Consider the following 17,857-nt stretch of genomic DNA (forward strand, 5'->3'; position numbering starts at 1 on the left):
AGGGCCCCCCGGAGGATGTGGGAGGGAATTTTCTCCCCGGGTACAGACTTCACACTGACCTTGACACACCCCTCCTCATGACAGGCAGTCCCAGTCAGTTCTCTCGAAAACCACTGCTCAAAATTCACAACACTGCTGCCCCTGTTTAATACAGCGCTGCCTGACCCCTCCACCACCCTGAGAACCCCCAGGACCCCTACAGCCCTGCCTTCAGGGGTGGTTCCACTTTCCTGTGCCCTTTTACAGGGCTTACCCTGGCCTCGTCCCCTGCCTTCCCCAAGGGGCTCCTTACAGCACATGCCCTGGATGCTTCTGGAACCAATGCCAACCTTGATCCCTGGTACCCCTGGGCAACATCACAGAGACACAGGGCAAGATGGAAGGCACCATCCACAGCTTCATGGCTTTCTGGGTACCCTTGTCTGTGTGATTAAGGTTTTCACCCCTGCAGGTACCTTGAGAGACTTGGTGCCTTAGGTAGAATGCACACAGACCTTCTGGCCCACCCAACTCAGGATGCGAGGCTCCGAGATGTTGTTCCTCCTTTTCTGGAATCAAAACCAGCCTGTGTGTGTTGGGATGGGGAAGGCAAACATGAGGGTCTTGGGGAGGGTCTGGGATCCCTTAAACCGGACAGAACTGTGAACAGTAGGCAGTGCTCATTTCCCAGCGAAGCCCTCAGTTTGACTTTGCTGTTTCTTGGGTCTGTGATCCTCCTTCCCCCACCGTGCTGTGTTGACTCATCCTCATTCTGGGGGCTCAGGCACTGTTGACTGGGAAGGGGTAAGAAGGAACTTTCTAGAACTGTCCTATATCAGCACCATCCAATGGAAATCTAATGCAAGCCACATATGTCATTTTATATATTCTGGCAGCCATATTAAAACAGGCAAAGTAATTTTAATAATATTTTATTTAACCTGACACATTTAAAATATTATCTTGCTGGGCACGATGGTTCACACCTGTAATCCCAGTACTTCGGGAGGCCGAGGTGGGTGGGTCACTTGAGGTCAGGAGTTTGAGACCAGTCTGGCTAACATGGTGAAACCCTGTCTCTACTAAAAAAATACAAAAATTAGCCGGGCATGGTGGTGCACGCCTGTAATCCCAGCTACTCGGGAGGCTGAAGCAGGAGAATTGCTTGAACCCAGGAGGCGGAGGCTGCAGTAAGCTGAGATCACGCCACTGCATTCCAGCCTGGGCGACAGAGCAAGAATCTGTCTCAAAAAAAAATTATACTAACTTGTAAACAATAAAAATATTAATAAGCTATTTTATATTCTTTTTATCACAGTAAGTTTGAAATCCTGTGTATATTTTGTGCTTACAGCACTTGTCAGTTCAGACAAGCCACTTCTGGCTAGTGGCTACGGCAGCACAGATCTCTCTATCTTGATTTGGGTGGTAGTTACACAGGTGTAGACATATGTAAAAATGTGGCTAGCTGTACACTCAAGATGTGTGCATTTCACTGTGTGTGTTACTCTTTAAAAGTTTTTAAAAAGCCTCTTCAAGGCTCTGCTCAAATGCCACTCGTTTTCCTGAACCCATCCCGGGTTGCAGTGAGCTGCTTCTGTTGAACTGTGCTTCTGTTACATTTATACTTGTACCATAGCTGTGTCTCGCCATTTCCTCACAGACTCAAGTCTTGGGTCTCACAGACCCAAGAAACAGTGAGATCAAACTGAGGGCTCCACTGGGAAATGGGCACTGCCTACTGTTGACAGTTCTGTCCGGTTTAAGAGATCCCAGACCCTCCCCAAGACCCTCACATTTGCCTACCCCATCCCAACACACACAGGCTGGTTTTGATTCCAGAAAAGGAGGAACAACATCTCGGAGCCTCACATCCTGGGTCGGGTGGGCTGACGTGTGTTTCCTACAAGCACCCTAAGATGAAGACCATGGTTTGTTGATTTTTTTTTAATTCCCCAAAGGGCCACTGACTACCTCATGCTGAATAAGTAAGCGTGGCTGAATGGAATCCCCAGGTGTTATAAACCTTCTCTGGGCTGGCTGCAGGATAGCTGATCATTGAATTCTGTTTTTCAGTCCGGTTCCAGTTGTTGGCAAAGGAGAGGAAGAGGAAGAGGAAGATGGCATGCGGCTTTGTCTGCCAGCCAACCCGAAAAACTGCCTTCCTCACCGCCGGGGCATCAGCATCCTGGAGAAGCTCATCAAAACATGCCCGGTGTGGCTGCAGCTGAGTCTGGGCCAGGCAGAGGTGGCCAGGATCCTGCACCGGGTGGTGGCTGGGGTGAGTGGGGGCGTCTCCCACTTGGTAGGCACACACACCTGTGAGGAACTCAGGCGTGCTCCACACCTGCCCTGGCTCCCACAGGGAAGCAGCTACCATGCAGATGACTGCATGTTTATTTCCCTTTCCTACATTTGTCAGCTTTTGACCACAATTTTCTCCCAGAACACAGGCATGGGGGGCTGGTGAGAGGCCTGGTTTCTTCTTTGGGGAGCAGGTGTTTGTGACTGGAGAGCAGGTAGTGGGTGGCTTGCAGGCTCTCAGGGCATTTGGGCACCTGAGAGGCAGGACTGATGCAGTCAGGAGGACCATGCTGGCCTGCTCTGACTTTGGGGGCTCAGCCAGGCATCCAGGGTCCAGAGAGTGTCAATCAGAGCCAGGGTAAAAAAAAAATGGCTTTATGCTCCCTGTTTTACATATGCAAATAAGGGGCTGTGTGATGGAGTCAAAAGATGTTTTGGAGGTCAGGCTCTGTGAGCTGGGCACACGGCTTAAATTTTCTAAGCCTCACTTTTGTTGCTTTGAAATAGGGGCATTCACACCACCCCCGAGGCTCTTATTCCTATTGCATGGGAAGATAGATGATGGATGGATGAATGGACAGATGGATGGACAGACAGACAGATGGATAGATAGATGGATGGACGTATGGACATACAGACAGACAACAGATAAGTGGGTGATAGATGATGAAATATGAGTCAGAGCTCATCATATGTTCCTTTCACCTCCCACACACATTTTCTCCTATACGCTGCTTCCTTTTAAAAACAACTTGAATTTGTTTAATTACCAAAGTGATACACATATGTGTTCATTATTTAACAGAAACCCAAGCTGGACAGACATGTAAAAAGTAAAGATCTTTTCCACCTACTGTAACCAAACTCACTCCCCAGAAGTGTTTTCTTTTTTTAATTGAGATGAAATTCACATAATATAAAATTAGCCATTTAAAAGTATACAGTTCAGTGGCATTTAGTACAGACACAATGTGGTACAACCACCACCTCTATCTATCTAGTTCCAAAACATCTCATCATTCAAAACAAAGCCCTACACTCCCTCCCCCTTCTCCCCTCCTGCAGCCCCGTAACCACCAATCTGCCTCCGAAGTCACGTTGCATGCGGTACGTCTGTCTGCACATTTTCCATGCATATTCATGCATATTCACGTAGCGGCAAGCATTCCCTGAGTACTTGCTTTGCTCCAGGCAGTCTTGCAAGTTCTTCATGTGAATCTGCCCATTTAACCTCACAGCAGCCCTAGGAGGTAGGTGTTGCCACCTTGCCCATTGTATAGATGAGGCAACTGCGATGCAAAGGCATTGAGTGCCCTCCCCCAGGGGACACAGTGAGTAAATAGCAGAGTGGGAATCTGGACCCAGGCAGTCTGGGTGCCCTGTGCTATGTTGAGCACACACGTTTTATTTGGCTTAGCTGGACTTTTGTCCCCCAGCCACCGTGCACTTTTGATGGTCTCTCCCCTGCTGTGGTTGCAGCGCTTGTCTGCCTCCCAGGAAGAGTCCAGACGTATAAGTACAGGGCTCAGATGGCGAATGGACTCGTTCACCTCGGACGAGGTAAAATGCATCAAGTCGCCAGTTGTACCTGAAAATCGGAATTACTAGAACTTATGGGGCCTTCTGCAAAGTCCTGACCTCCTCTTGCTACAGAGGCCCCTGTCACAGGGAGTGGGCACTGTGGTGGCCTGGAAGCACAGCAGTGTCCTGCCAAGACCAGGGGGACCGCTGGCCTGGCAAGGCCTGGGTAGAAAATAAAACCAGGGTCTCCTGCCAGTGGGTGTTCAGCCAGCACCCTCTGTGGTCCCCAGTTCCCCTGGTAGGTTCTCAGGAATGAGCTTCCCACCCTTGCTGGGAGGATGCAGCTCGAAACCAGCCCAAGGGGAAAATTTTTGATGCCAGGGGATGGCCATGTTCTGGATTTTTCTTGGTCATCAAGAAGGACATGTGCAGGGCAGGTGTGTGGATGGGAATTACCAGACAGTGGGGGATGGTCCCAGGAGAAGGTGCTGGCTCTCCAGAGCAAGCTGGATGGGACATAGTCATGACTGCTCTGTCAAAAGATTCAGTTCTCTCTTCAGAAAATTAGCCTGGGCGCGGTGGCTCATGCCTATAATCCCAGCACTTTGGGAGGCCACGGCAGGGGGATTCCTTGAGCCCAGGAGTTCAAGACCAGCCTGGGCAACATGGCGAGACCCCGTCTCTACAAAAAATACAAAAATTAGCCAGGCACGGAAGTGTGCACTTGTAATCCCAGCTATTCGGGAGGCTGAGGTGGGAGAATTACTTGAACCGGGGAGGTGGAAGTTGCAGTGTGCCTAGATCACGCCACTGTACTCCAGCCCAGGTGATGGAGTGAGACTCTGTCCAAAAAAAATGATTAAAAAGTTTAAAATAAGCACAACTAAAAATAACTGTAGTGGTTCCTTTTGGAGAATGCTTAGTAATTCCAGGCTCTGTGCTTTGCAGATATCATCTTGCAATCATCCTGTGAGGTCAACTCTGCCATTATACCCATTTCACAGATAATGAAACCGAGGCTAAGAGGAGTGCTTTAGTTTGGGTTTCCCCAGAAGCAGACCCTGAGACAAGGATTTGAGTGCAAGTGGATTATTTGGGTAGTAACCCCAGGAAGCACCAGTAGGGGAACCAAGCCAGGGGAAGGGACTGATGCCAATAAAAGGTACATTGTCATGAGAGTTACTCTTGGGGGCAGCTGGAGCTGAATCCTCCTGGGGAACTCTGGGAGCCAGCGTGGAACACACATCTCGTGGTTATCCCACCGGAAGGGTGAGGGAGCTGTGTATTATTCACCAACTCCTGATAGTCGTGGGTCAAAGGCTGTGGGGTGTGAGGAGGATGCATCTTCCAGCACCTTCTCTCTTCCTTTTGTTTTTTCTTTTCTTTTCTTTTTTTTTTTTTTTTGGTGAGACAGAGTCTTGCAGTGGCGCAATCTCAGCTCACTGCAACCTCCACCTCCTGGGTTCAAGCGATTCTCCTGCCTCAGCCTCCCAAGTAGCTGGGACTACAGGCGTGTGCCACCACGCCTGGCTAATTTTTGTATTTTTAGCAGAGACAGGGTTTCACCATGTTGGCCAGGCTGGTCTCAGACTCCTGACCTCAGGTGATCCTCCCACCTCGGCCTTCCAAAGTGCTGGCATTACAGGTGTGAGCCACCGTGCCCGGCCCCCTTCTCTCTTCCTTGACTGTAAGATCTGACTCTTGCCAGAAACAGTCCTTGGGTGAAGAGATGCAGAGATGGCTAGTGGAAGGAGGGCTGGAGTCCACTAAAAAGATAAGTCTCCACAGGGATGGGTGGGACACCAGCCACACCTACCACTAGAGTGGGCTAACTTTCCCAAAGATCACACAGCTAGTGAGGTACAGGGCTGAGGTTTGAACCCAGGCCTGGCTAGGCTCAAGCCCATCCCTCCAGAAGTGAGTAGCAGGAGAGACATAAAAGTAATTTTCTGAGATCAACCAGTGCTGGATGGGTTTGGATATGAGCCATGTTTATAAAGATGGGTGAGATACAATCTTACCACTGTCCTCTCCGAGGGTCTGGTGGGGACTCCATGCACCAATATGAACCGTAAAGGCACCAGGTGGGGTTAGCTAAGTGCTCTGTGAAAGGCAGGGCAGCGAGTTACCTGGAGCAGGAAGAGAGCACATCCAGGTGGGGTGATCTGGGCAGACTTCCTGGAGGAGGCAGACACCAAGCTGGGCCATGAAGAATGGATGGGCAGGTTGGGATGGGGGAGCTGACAGAGTCTGCTGGAGAGTAGCAGGTGACATAACAGCAAGGGCCAAGGCCCAGAGGTGGATGTGAGCCTTGCTGGGGCCCTTGGGGATGAAAGAGAGTGGAGGGAATAGAGCCTACCGGAACCCTGGAGAGCAGGACCATGTTGCATTCATCTACCAGTGACACCATTGACTGATTCGGGTCTGGGAGCACAGAGTGAGCCTGGCTCTGATTGTTCACTGGGACAAATGAATGAGGACAGCAGGTGTGCAGGTCTGCTTCTTCCAAACTGACAAAGCCAGGCTAGGTTGCTCGGGGCCTGTGGCAAGAGGCAAAGGCCACGGGGCTTAGTTCATTTTCAAGGTGAGCACAAGTTAAAGCAAGGCCTTAGGCCTTAATCCCAGCTTCAGTGGTGCGAGAAGGCTGGACACTCCTTCAGCCCCAGCAGGGGAGGCACCCAGGCTGCCGAGGCCCAGAGAACTCTGCTACAATCCAGGTGCTGAGTATAGAAGATGTTGAGACCACAGGTGACTGCATTAAAGGAGTCAACCATTCCCTTCCCACTGCCACCCACTCACCACCCCCTTCTGAGGGCGTAGCAGCTGGGCCAGCCCTGAGAACAACAGAGTGGAGGAGCTGTGTCATCTGTTGCCTTCCCTGCTCTCTGCCTTTACGCCCCACTCCTCCCCGTGCACCTCTATATTTTCAAGCATAAGGAAGGGCCTGAGTGCATGTGCTGTTACGAAGATTGGCAGCTTTTACCCAGAGTTGCTATATGCATGATCTTACTTGATCCTCAGCGATTTCTGTCAGGTAGGCATTAGTGTGTTCCCATTTTCAGATGAGGAAACAGAGGCACAGAGAAGTCAACTCACTTGCCTGAAGTCACACAGCTGGTGAAAGCAGAGTCTGTGTGGTGTGATCTTCAGCTGGCAAGGCGCTTTGCTTCACAACAGCGGTCCCACAGAGCTGGCATCCAGGCGATGATGTCATTGTTTCTAAAGATACAGACACCGGGCCGGATGCGGTGGCTCATGTCTATAATCCCAGCCCTTTGGGAGGCCAAGGCGGGTGGATCACCTGAGGTCAGGAGTTCAAGACCAGCCTGGTCAACATGATGAAACCACGTCTCTACTAAAAATACAAAAAATTAGCCAGGCTTGGTGGTGGGCGCCTGTAATCCCAGCTACTCAGGAGGCTGAGGCAGGAGAATCACTTGAACCTGGGAAGGCAGAGGTTGCAGTGAGCCGAGATCGCACCACTGCACTCCAGCCTGGGCAACAAGAGCGAAACTCTGTCTAAAAAAAAAAAAAAAAAAAAAAAAATATATATATATCTGCCATATATATGCCATAAATATATATATATCTGCCATATATATGCCATATTTATATATATTTATATATATTTATATTTATATATATTTTTATATATATATTTATATATATATATACCGACACCATGGGTGGTCCCCAGGCTGTGGGAACTCAAAAGGTCTTCAGAGACCACCTGGGTCTACCCCTGCTGGCACCGATGAAAGACAGTGCTTCATTGTGTCTAGCGCTGGTGCTCAGGCTAGGGATTCAGGCCCTTTGTTCCAAATATCTGTATGACCTTGACCACATCTCACCCCTTCCCCACTATCCACCTCCCTCCCTGCAGCCTGCTTCTCTGATAAGGTTTTGGGAACATATTGGCCCATTTGTTCATTTGTGTGTATCCAGAAGCAAGGCAACCAAATAGCCACCTTTATTTATTCTGCATTCAGGCTGATTTTTTTTTTTATTTTAGAATAGTTTTAGATTTACAGAAAAGTTTCAAAGACGGTACAGGGAGTTCCCATATACTCCACACCAGTTTCCCCCATTGTTAACATCTAGCATTAGTGTGGTACATTCGCCACAATTAAGAAACTGATCTTGATACATTAGTATTAACTAAAGCCCGTACTTTATTCAGATTTCCTGAGTTTTGTTTGGTTTTGAGACAGGTCTTGCTCTGTCACCCAATCTGGAGTGCAGTGGCGCGATCATGGCTCACTGCAGCCTACCTCCTAGGCTCAAGTGATTCTCCTGCCTCAGCTTCCTGAGTAGCTGGGATTACAGGCACACACTACCATGCCCAGCTAATTAATTTTTTACTTTTTGTAGAGACGAGGTCTCCCTATGTTGCCCAGGCTGGTCTTGAGCTCCTGGGCTCAAGCAATCCTCCCACCTCGGCCTCCCATACCACTGGGATTACAGGCGTGAGCCACCATGCCTGGTCAGCTTTTACCTAGCGTCTTTTCTCTGCTCCGGGATCCCATCCCATGTTACATTTAGTCATCTTGTCTCCTTAGGCTTTTCTTGGCTGTGACATTTGCTCAGACTTCCTTTGTTTTTGATGACCTTGGCAGTTTTGAGGAACAGTGATCAGGTATTTTGTAGAATGTTCCTCCACTAGGACTTGTCTGATGGTTAGACTGGGGTTAGGGGTTTGGGGAGGAAGACCACACTGGTAAAATAATCTAATCACATCATATGAAGGCAACAGACTCTCGGAATGACTTAACCACTGGTGATGTTGACCTTGATCAATTGCTGGGGTTGTGTTCTTAGGGTTTCTGTACTTCAAAGTCACTCTTTCCCCCACTGCCTCTCTAGACTGTACTTTTTGGAAGGCAGTCGGTGTGCTCAGCCCACCTTTAAGGAATGGGGAATTATGCTCCACCTCCTTGATTTGGTATCTAATAAATTATTTGGAATTTGTCTGTACAAGAGATTTGCCTCTTCTCTCCCATCTATTTGTTAAGCCATTTACTTATATCATTGTGGAATCAGGGGCACTTTTATACTTTGGACTATAATCCAATACTACTTTAATTATTTTGTTGCTCAAAGTTTTCCAACTTTGGCCCCTCGAGTCCTTCAGTTGGCTCCTGTATGCCTTTGACACACTGCCCTCACTGTGCATGTGGGTGTGTGTTTTGTTTTTTGGAACATGTCGTTATTTCCTGGCAATATAAGATACTCCATGCTCATCTTATATATTTTCTGCCCCAGTCCTAGAATCAGCCATTTCTCCAAGAAGCCGTCGTTCCTTTTATAGGGAATGATATTAGAAACCAAGATCTGGGGACCACAGGTGTTTGTTGCTACTGGAGTGTCAGTTGCTTCTAGGCCAAGGTGGTTTTTAATAAAAGAAACCTCTTTTAAGGTTGCTTTTGGTGATGAAGGAGGTGAAAGGTTGGGTCAAAAGTTGTAGTAACCTGAGTTGTGATATAGACCAGCCATCTAGATGGTTCAAGGCACCCTCCCTAGGTGTGAGCCCAAGGAGTACCGATTCTGTTGAGTATTAGTTTGGTAAAAACCTTCAGTGGGCCAGGTGCAGTGACTCCTGCCTGGAATCCCAGCACTTTGGGAGGCCGAGGTGGGTGGATCACCTGAGGTCAGGAGTTCAAGACTAGCCTGGCCAACATGGTAAAACCTCATATCTGCTAAAAATAGAAAAAAATAGCCAGGAGTAGTGGCAGGCGCCTGTAATCCCAGCTACTTGGGAGGCTGAGGCAGGAGAATCGCTTGAACCCGGGAGGCAGAAGTTGCAGTGAGAAAAGATCGCACCACTGCACTCCAGCCTGGGCAACAAGAGCAAAACTCTGTCTCAAAACAAACAAACAAACAAACAACAAACTTCAGTGAAGCCCCTCTGTTGTGAGACCAGGGAAAAAGGCACAATCATCAATTATTGCAGGATTACTTTGGACTAAGCACCATCTCTCATTTTTCCAACAACCCTGCAAAACAGGGGTGTGATCTCTATTCTATAAGGGAGGAAACTCAGCTCTGAGACGGTAAGAAACCAGCCTGAGTCATATGGCTACCAAGTTGTGGAACTTGATTTAAACCCACAACTGACTGTCTCCAAAAGCTTTAAAAAAAACAGTGTCTTGGCCTCACCCTCAGAAGTGCTTCTCTTTTTCTTTTGGAGTGGGCCTCAGCCATCAGCATGTTTTAAAAGCTTCCTGGGTAATTCTGCTATGTAGCCAGAGTTGAGAATTGCTGCTCTGTGCTATGCTAATGGGAAAGGTGGGCCTCAGTTTCCCCATATGTAAAATAAAGATATTGGGCAATATGTCCCTTTATTCCATTTCCAGTCCTCAGTGGTTCTGAGGATTTGTGGCTTGACTTTCTTACATCTCTGTACACACACAAACACACACACACATACCCCTAAGCTCTGTCAGAGTCAGGACTGAGGATATGAGGACCTTTGTCCAGGATGGGCCCCAGCCACTGGACTGTCAACCTCTGCAGGCACAACCCCTGTGGACATAGCCTCTCAGAAGAGCCAGACACTTCTATTTCTGCCCTAATGGGCATGATTGGAAATTTTCCCCAAGCAGCTGGAAAATAATCCTAAAATAACAGAAGTGGAAAAGCAGATAGCTCTGAATTGTCCAGGCCAAAAATGAATAGTAAAAACAAAACCCCTTATGGTGCATTTAGCTTTGGATAAAAATCCAAATGTATTTATTTGGAGAGGAAGAGGGGAGCGTGGTGGCTGCATAATTCTCTCCCTAAGCATATTCTGTCCCAGCTGTTAGTGAAATAAGTTGGTCTTTCCAAAACTCACCTTGGCTGAAGATAGACAGGAAGAGGGTCTGCAGACTGGCGGTACCATTTCCTGGATTGCGTTAATTTACCATGAAACTCACCCTCTTGCAAGCCTCTTAGGGACTGGGAAAGACCCCCAGGGCACTGATGCTACAAGAGTATCTTCTAGAAGAAAGGAGTCTTGGAATTGTTCAGCCTACCTCCCTTGCTATAGACTGGAAAAAGCCAGCTCAGAAAGGGGAAGTGACTTGCTTAAGGACACAGAGCAAACCAATGTCAGAACTAGGAAGGACACAAGTGTCTGACCCTCAGCCCGTTGCTCTTACCATTGCCCGCTGTTTTTTTGGTGGGGGCTTGCATGGGGGAATCCTAAATCATCAAAGAAAATCGAACTCTCACAGTGGCAAGAGCCCAGCAGTTTGTACAATTGATGGAAGAGGATTTTTCTGCTTTCTGAGGGTCCCTAATGCAATGCAGTGAGGGATGAAAAATGGAGGAAACGCGCACACACACGCGCGCGCGCAGGAACAGCTGACTCAGCAAGGCCCCAGACCAGGCTTGTTCCCAGAGAGGAGAGAGGTTGAGTAAGGACACTGGGCCTAGGAAGCTTTGTTAGTGGCTAATCAGGGAAGGCTTTCAGGAGCAGTGGCAGATGGAGGGCCCTACCGTGGGCATGAATGTGAACTGTTCTGTTTGTAGGAAACCCAGGCAGCCCCCTGTGAGTGTCCTGGAGGTGGACAAAGGTGGCCCCGGCACTGGCACTTGTCTCCCTGTGTTCCCTCACTGCTCCACCTGGCTCATCTGCTCTGCCTGGCTTATCTTCCCATCGAGGTTGAGCTCTGAAGTCTGGAGCTGCCCATCAGGATGCCTTTCCCTGTCCAGGGTGCCCCATGTCCTGCCCTATTGCCCTTTTGATTCATGGAGCCATCCATGAACACTGACATCAGGAATGCTAGGAGCTTTGTGACATTCGTTCTCAGGGCCAGGAGGCAGGTAGAGGGGGTCTGGGGAAGGAAGTGTTACCAGAAAGGGGTCCCAAGCCAGACCCTAGGGAAGGGTTCTTGGACCTCAGGCAAGAAAGAAACAGGGGCAAGTCCACAAAGTAAAGTGAAAGCAAGTTTATTAGGAAAGTAAGGGGATAAAGAATAGCTACTCCATGGGCAGAGCAGCAGCATGGGCTGCTCGAATGAATATACTTAGAGTTATTTCTTGATCAAACAAGGGGTGGATTATTCATGAGTTTTCTGGGAAAGGGGTAGGCATTTCCTGGAGCTAAGGGTTTCCCCGCTTTTTAGACTATATAGGGTAACTTCTTTACTGCCATGGCATTTGTAAACTGTCTTGGCGCTGGTGGGAGTGTCTTTTAGCTTACTAATGCATTATAATTAGCACATAATGAGCAGTGAGGATGACCAGAGGCCACTTTCATTGCCATCTTGGTTTTGGTGGGTTTGGGCCGGCTTCTTTACCACATCTTGTTTTATCAGCAGGGTCTTTGTGACCTGTATCTTGTGCTGACCTCCTGTCTTATCCTGTGACTAAGAATGCCTAACCTCCTGGGAATGCAGCCCAGCCGGTCTCAGCTGCCCCAGCCCCTATTTAAGATGGAGCTGCTCTTGAGCTGTAAGAAAGTTGCTCTGGAGCTGTAAGAAAGTCAAGATGGATCACCTCTGACAGAAGTATGACATATTGACTGCTTACTATGTAGCAGGCACTCTGCTAATACCACCTGTGCAGCCTTTTCAATGATCCTTTGAGGCACTGGGTTGGTGGTGAATGCTTTAAACTTCAAGTAACAGCAAGCCCGGCTATGGTAGCTTCAGCCATAAGGATGCTATTGTTCGTCTAGTGGGAAGTCTGGAAGTTGGGGTCCAGGGCTAGTTTAGCAGCTCTTTGATGCCTTCAGTTCCCACTGTGTTCCCTCACTACTCCACCTGGGCTTCTCTCTACCCTTCTATTCCTCCATCTTCAAGTGGTTGGCTTTTTGTCCTCAGGTTTCTCACCTCATGGTTGCAAAATGGCAGCTGCAGCTCCAGACACCTCACCCATTCGAAGGCAAGAGGTCACAGGCAAATGGCTTTCTCCTCCTAGGCTCTGCATTATTGTTAGGGAACACATATTGTTCCAAATGCTTTATTGACCACCCGTGATGTGATGAAGGCTAGGAAAGGGGGTGAATGGCCAAGGAGAGCAGGATGGTCAAGATCGGCTCTGACCAAATGTGATACATCTCCTGAGTCAGGGCACATTGCCGCCAGAGCCAGAATCAGGGTCTGTTAGCAAGGAGGGGGAGAGGGGACTGGTTCCTGGGGAGCTAACTCAGTAAGTATCATAGGCAGGGACTATTATGACCCCATTTCACAGAAAAAGAAGCCGCCCAGAAAGCTCAGATAGCTCCAAGTGGCTAACTAAGGACTAAACTTGGAAGGTTTGGCTCCAGAGCATGCGGGCAGAAGGTCTTACATGAAAGGGTTCAAGGCCCAACACTCTGGACCTGCCGCTTGAATGCCCATCCCCTTTCCCGTCTCCTTACCAACCTGCACCTCACACTATTTTCTCATCTGCATGGAGGGTGTGATATTCAGAGCCTCAGGGAAGGAGCTGTTGCAGGTATCTAAAATCCCTAGCCTGGTGCCTGCCATGGAGTATATGCTTATTTAACACCAGTGGGTTGGTTGGGCTAGAGGTTATGTATTGTAGTGGTCACAAACGTGGCCTGGAGGTCACGTGTCTTGCATTCTTGTTCTGGCTCTGACACTAATAAGTGATGTGACCTCAGGAGGTCATTTTACTTCTCTGGGTTTCTTTGGCTGTAGAGTGAGGGGCTGGACCACATCACTAGCTTTGAAACTTTCCCACTGAGCTATGTGTATTCGTCAGCAATGCCTGATGGAAGAGAGTAGGGGGATACCCAAAGGTGGAGGCCACATGTCCGTATACCTCATGGCTATACCATTACCTACTTTACATAACAAACCAACATTCAGTGGCTTTCAACAGTCACTATTTTATATTTGCTCACAATTCTATGGCTCAGCAATTTGGGCTGGGTTCAGCTGAGTGGTTCTTCTGTTGGTCTTTTCTGGGGTCAGTCATGCAGCTGCAATCATCTAGCAACTTGACTAGAGGGGGATGGTCTATGATGGCCTCACTCATGTGTCTTGTGTTGGGTGCTGGCTGTTGGCTGGGCCACACAACTCCAGCTGGCTAGCTCAGGCTTCTTTACATGACAGCATAGTCCAAAGGGTGACATGGAAGCTGCATGCCTCTTGAAGCCCAAGCTCTGAACTCCACAGTGTCTCTTCTGCTGCATTTTTTTTTTTTTTTTTTGGTCAATGCCAGTGCCAAGGCCATGCTGTTTTCACCAGGAGGTGAAAATAGACTCCATCTCTTGATAGGGGGAGCAGCAAAGACTTTGTGGCTCTTTTTAATCTACTGTGGAGGTGAATGCTCTTTGAGTCCTTTGTCCTGTCTCTTTGGTTCAGCTGCAAGCATAGTAATAATCCTATTAATAGTTGTCATTTATTTGTCTAATGATATTAGGCACTTAAAATCATAGCATGTGATTTGGATCAGTAAATGAGAGCAATCTATAATAATAATTAATAATTAGGATTATAAGTTATTAAGTACATTTTCTGTGCCAGGCATTTTATATACATGATCAGCAATTCTCACAGCAACCCTGAATGATGGATATTATTGTCCTCATGTTTAGATGAGGACATTGAGACCCCAAGAAGTAAAAGTAACTTGCCCACGGCTGGTGAGGGGCAGAGGTAGTATTTGTGTTTCACTGTGTCTCTAAATAGCTGGCTGCAGGGGGGCAGAAAGGGAGAAGTAAGGTGGGCTTTGAGACTTTTCACATGGAAACCCCAAAGGTGTTGGAGAAAGGGCTCTGGGTGGTCCTTCGGCTCCCCATCCCACCATGTACTCACTTGTAACAGCCATCATGGGCAACATCCCCTTGGAGTATGACCTGGGGACACTCGATCAGCGAGTGGGCAGGGAGGCAATGTAGATATAAACAACTCATGAAGATGGCTGCTGCCTGACACTGACTTGGGCCAAAATCTGCCAGATTTAAGCTGAGATAATTCACCATAATCTAAAATGTTCTTCAGGCATCACTGCGGCACAGTGATGCTGTTTTTGAGGTGCTGTCTGTGAATACCTTCTAGAAGAGTCTCCATGACTAGCTCAGCAGCTAAACCTCCCCAGAGAGGAACAGAACAGACCCTCTGATTCCAGTTGGCCAAGGCAGACCACAGACCTGGGCTCTGCCCACAGCACGTACCTGTCAGTGTCACCCTCACCCATGGCCACCTGGGCAGGAAACGTCAGAGGACTCCTGGAGCCATGCCAAACTCAGAGTCCGTCCCTGCCCCACTCTCCATCGTGAACTCACAGCCTCCAGCCTCCTCTGCCCCAGGCCAGCGCCTTATCATGGTTTTTAGTCAGAAGACAAGAGCCACATGAGAGCCCTGTGGCCATGCTGAAAGGGTGGGTGATGGGTTCGGAGCTGGGGAGCTGGCAGAGTCCAACCTTGGGGACTTTCCAGCCCTGTCGACAAGCTGTGTAGATAACACAGCCCAACAGCGAGAGGGGAGCGAGATGCTTCACCATGTGGTGGGGATGCCTGGCCCTAGTCCTGCTCTGGCAGTTGCCAGCTGTGTGGCTCTGGGGAGGACTGAGTGATACCAGTCCTGGTGCCTGTAAGGCACCTGGCCCAGTGTGCACACGCCAGCTGCCGTTTTAACTTCTGCCTCCGTACTGTGGACTTGAACCACTCTCTCTTTAGTTTATAATCTTGCATTCGCCTCCTCTTGCCCTGGATCTGTAAGTTTCATCTCTTCTGGGGTCAGGCAATCCCTTCTGATTCTCTTTCACAGTAAACACACATGGTGGACAGACTCCCAGGTCTAGGTGGAGCCTGAGACCAGGAGACAGAAGCACAAAACCAGCTGCGGGTGGGGTGAGTGGAGCGTGGTCCTCAGTGAGCGTCCTGTTGGGTGCTTTCCTCTGCAGCTTCTCCATACATCTTACAACCAGAGAGGCAGGGCCTTGGTTTCATTTTTTGTTTCTGCTGGGTGGTGGCAGGTGTTGCCACCCCCATTTATGGACAAGAACACGGAGGCTCAGAGAAACCATACAATCACCCAGGGTCCCAGGGCTAGTAACTGGCTGCTCAGGGCCGTCTGAGGGCCCAGAAAGAAATACAGTTTGTGAGCCTGTCCCCAGCTGGAGGATCTCCCTCTGAGAGCTCCTGCCTTTTTTTTTTTTCTTTCTCTCTTGGAATGTGAGGATGGAGAACAGGGTCCATGTCCGAACAAAGTGAGAAAACCTAGAAATAGCTATGGGCTAGGTGTGAAAGAGCTGATTCAATGCAGAGAAGCATCGAAGGACAGCCTAGTTGAAGCCAGCAACCAGGATGTTTCATGCCAGTCACCCTAGGCAGAGATCAGTGGGGGCTAGGGGCATCAAAATAGTAAGGGGAGAAAGTAACTATCAGTAGAGTAAAAATATATATGTTGTACTGTGGCCCTGACCCGCGTAGACCTGCACCCTCCAACAAGAAGTCTACCCTTACTATAGGCAAGGGTCTTCTATTTTATTTTCTTCTGTTTCATTCTGGAAAAAGAAATTTTGGGTGGCATTCGCAGTAATGGGTCATGACGTGCAGTCTGAAAAACACTGCCCTTCCTTCCTGTGCCATCCCTGATACCTAAAGATGGGGCAGCCCTGCCATGTGGCTGTGCTTCTAACCAGTGACCTGGGTGTGTGTCCCCTGCACGTGCAACACAAAGAGAGCACTTTCCCAGTGTGGACAGAAATCTGCAGTTTGGTTGCAATTTAGGAGGGCTCCAGCCTCAGCTCCCACCCTGGCTCAGGGCCAGGGGTCAAAGTTTGCCTTCCCAGGGGCACCACTGGCTCCTGCTCTGCCTTTCTTTCCACGTCCTGCTCAGCAGGAAGGCCCTGGGGGCACCCCAGAGTTCCCTCGTGGCAGATACACACACACACACACACACACACTCACACACACTGTCCACTTTAACTAATGACATTCAGGCCAGGCGCGGTGGCTCACGCCTGTAATCCCAGCACTTTGGGAGGCCAAGGTGGGCTGATCACTTGAGATCAGGAGCTGGAGACCAGCCTGGCCAATATGATGAAGCCCCATCTCCACAAAAATATAAAAATTAGCCAGGCATGGTAGTGCGTGCCTGTAATCCCAGCTACTTGGAAGGCTGAGGCAGGAGAATCACTTGAACTCTGGAGGCAAAGGTTGCAGTGAGCTGAGATCACGCCATTGCACTCCAGCCTCAGCGACAAAGTGAGACTGTCTCAAAAAAAAAAAAAGAAGTGACATTCAGAAAATGTGATTAATTATGGAGTTTATTCTACCACAAAGCTTGAGGGTAGCCACCTGGGAGACACCGACTCCAAATGAACAAGGCCAGCATTGAAGGTGAAGTTAAGGTTTTACTTATACAGGCAGAGACAGAGAAGTTTTAGCAGGATGACATTTTCCATATGAGACCACTGCATGCCCCAGTGATTTGATTGGTTACAGATTGCTACAACCTAGGAAGATTACTTTATTACTCCTGTTAAATTAAGTTTAGCCTAACGCTGCCTCTTTACATATTTGAAGTTCTGTCTAAAGGTTTTTCTGGACATAGTGAACTGTAACCTAACTGGAGGTGTAAACAGACTGTAAAATACTCTTGTGGCAATCACTGAGTCTTGGCCGGTCAAAGGTGGCCAACTGGTCCAACGGTGTTCAAATAAGGCAAATGCCGAGCTGTAACCAATCCAGCTGTTTCTGTACCTCACTTCCAGTTTTTGTCCATTACTTTCCTTTTACTGTCCATAAATCTTCCACTACATGGCTATATTGGAGTCTCTCTGAACCTATTCTGGTTCAGGAGTTGCCCGATTTGTGAATCATTCTTTGCTCAATTAAATTCTGTGAAATTAATTGGTCTAAGGTTTTTCTTTTAATACTCCAGAAGAAGGGGAGTGTTCTGAGGGGGTCTTATCTCTGCTGCTGTTTGGTCTTCAATATTTACAGGAAATCAGCTGCAGAAGTTGCAGTTGCAGGCAGTGTTGCTCAGGCTACAAAGCCACATTCCTCTCAAGGCTCTAGATAATTTGAAGTTCCAATAGCTTTAAGTCCCAATTATTTTAAGTTTGAATTTAATTTCACAACACTCACCCATACTCACACACACACACT

At 48.5% G+C, this 17,857-nt stretch overlaps 1 protein-coding gene across 1 annotated transcript in view, besides 2 other annotated features; it reads left to right on the plus strand.

Moving 5' to 3' along the window:
* The window catches only part of RIN3 (Ras and Rab interactor 3), a 175,214-nt gene that overhangs the window by 39,915 nt on the left and 117,442 nt on the right, over window positions 1–17,857 (plus strand). The window contains exon 2 of the mRNA NM_024832.5: window positions 2,056–2,260. Within this exon, the coding sequence (NP_079108.3) occupies window positions 2,056–2,260 (205 nt within the window). The remainder of the gene's footprint in view (window positions 1–2,055; window positions 2,261–17,857) is intronic.
* Window positions 15,395–15,784: an enhancer, noted in NCBI's record as "active region_8932". NCBI's record gives its function as "activates an Ori minimal core promoter by ATAC-STARR-seq in GM12878 lymphoblastoid cells {active_cell/tissue: GM12878}" and the evidence as "EXISTENCE:reporter gene assay evidence [ECO:0000049][PMID:35858748]".
* Window positions 15,865–15,974: an enhancer, noted in NCBI's record as "active region_8933". NCBI's record gives its function as "activates an Ori minimal core promoter by ATAC-STARR-seq in GM12878 lymphoblastoid cells {active_cell/tissue: GM12878}" and the evidence as "EXISTENCE:reporter gene assay evidence [ECO:0000049][PMID:35858748]".

Source organism: Homo sapiens, chromosome 14 (assembly GCF_000001405.40).
Source record: "Homo sapiens chromosome 14, GRCh38.p14 Primary Assembly".
Classification (NCBI taxonomy): Eukaryota; Metazoa; Chordata; class Mammalia; order Primates; family Hominidae; genus Homo; species Homo sapiens.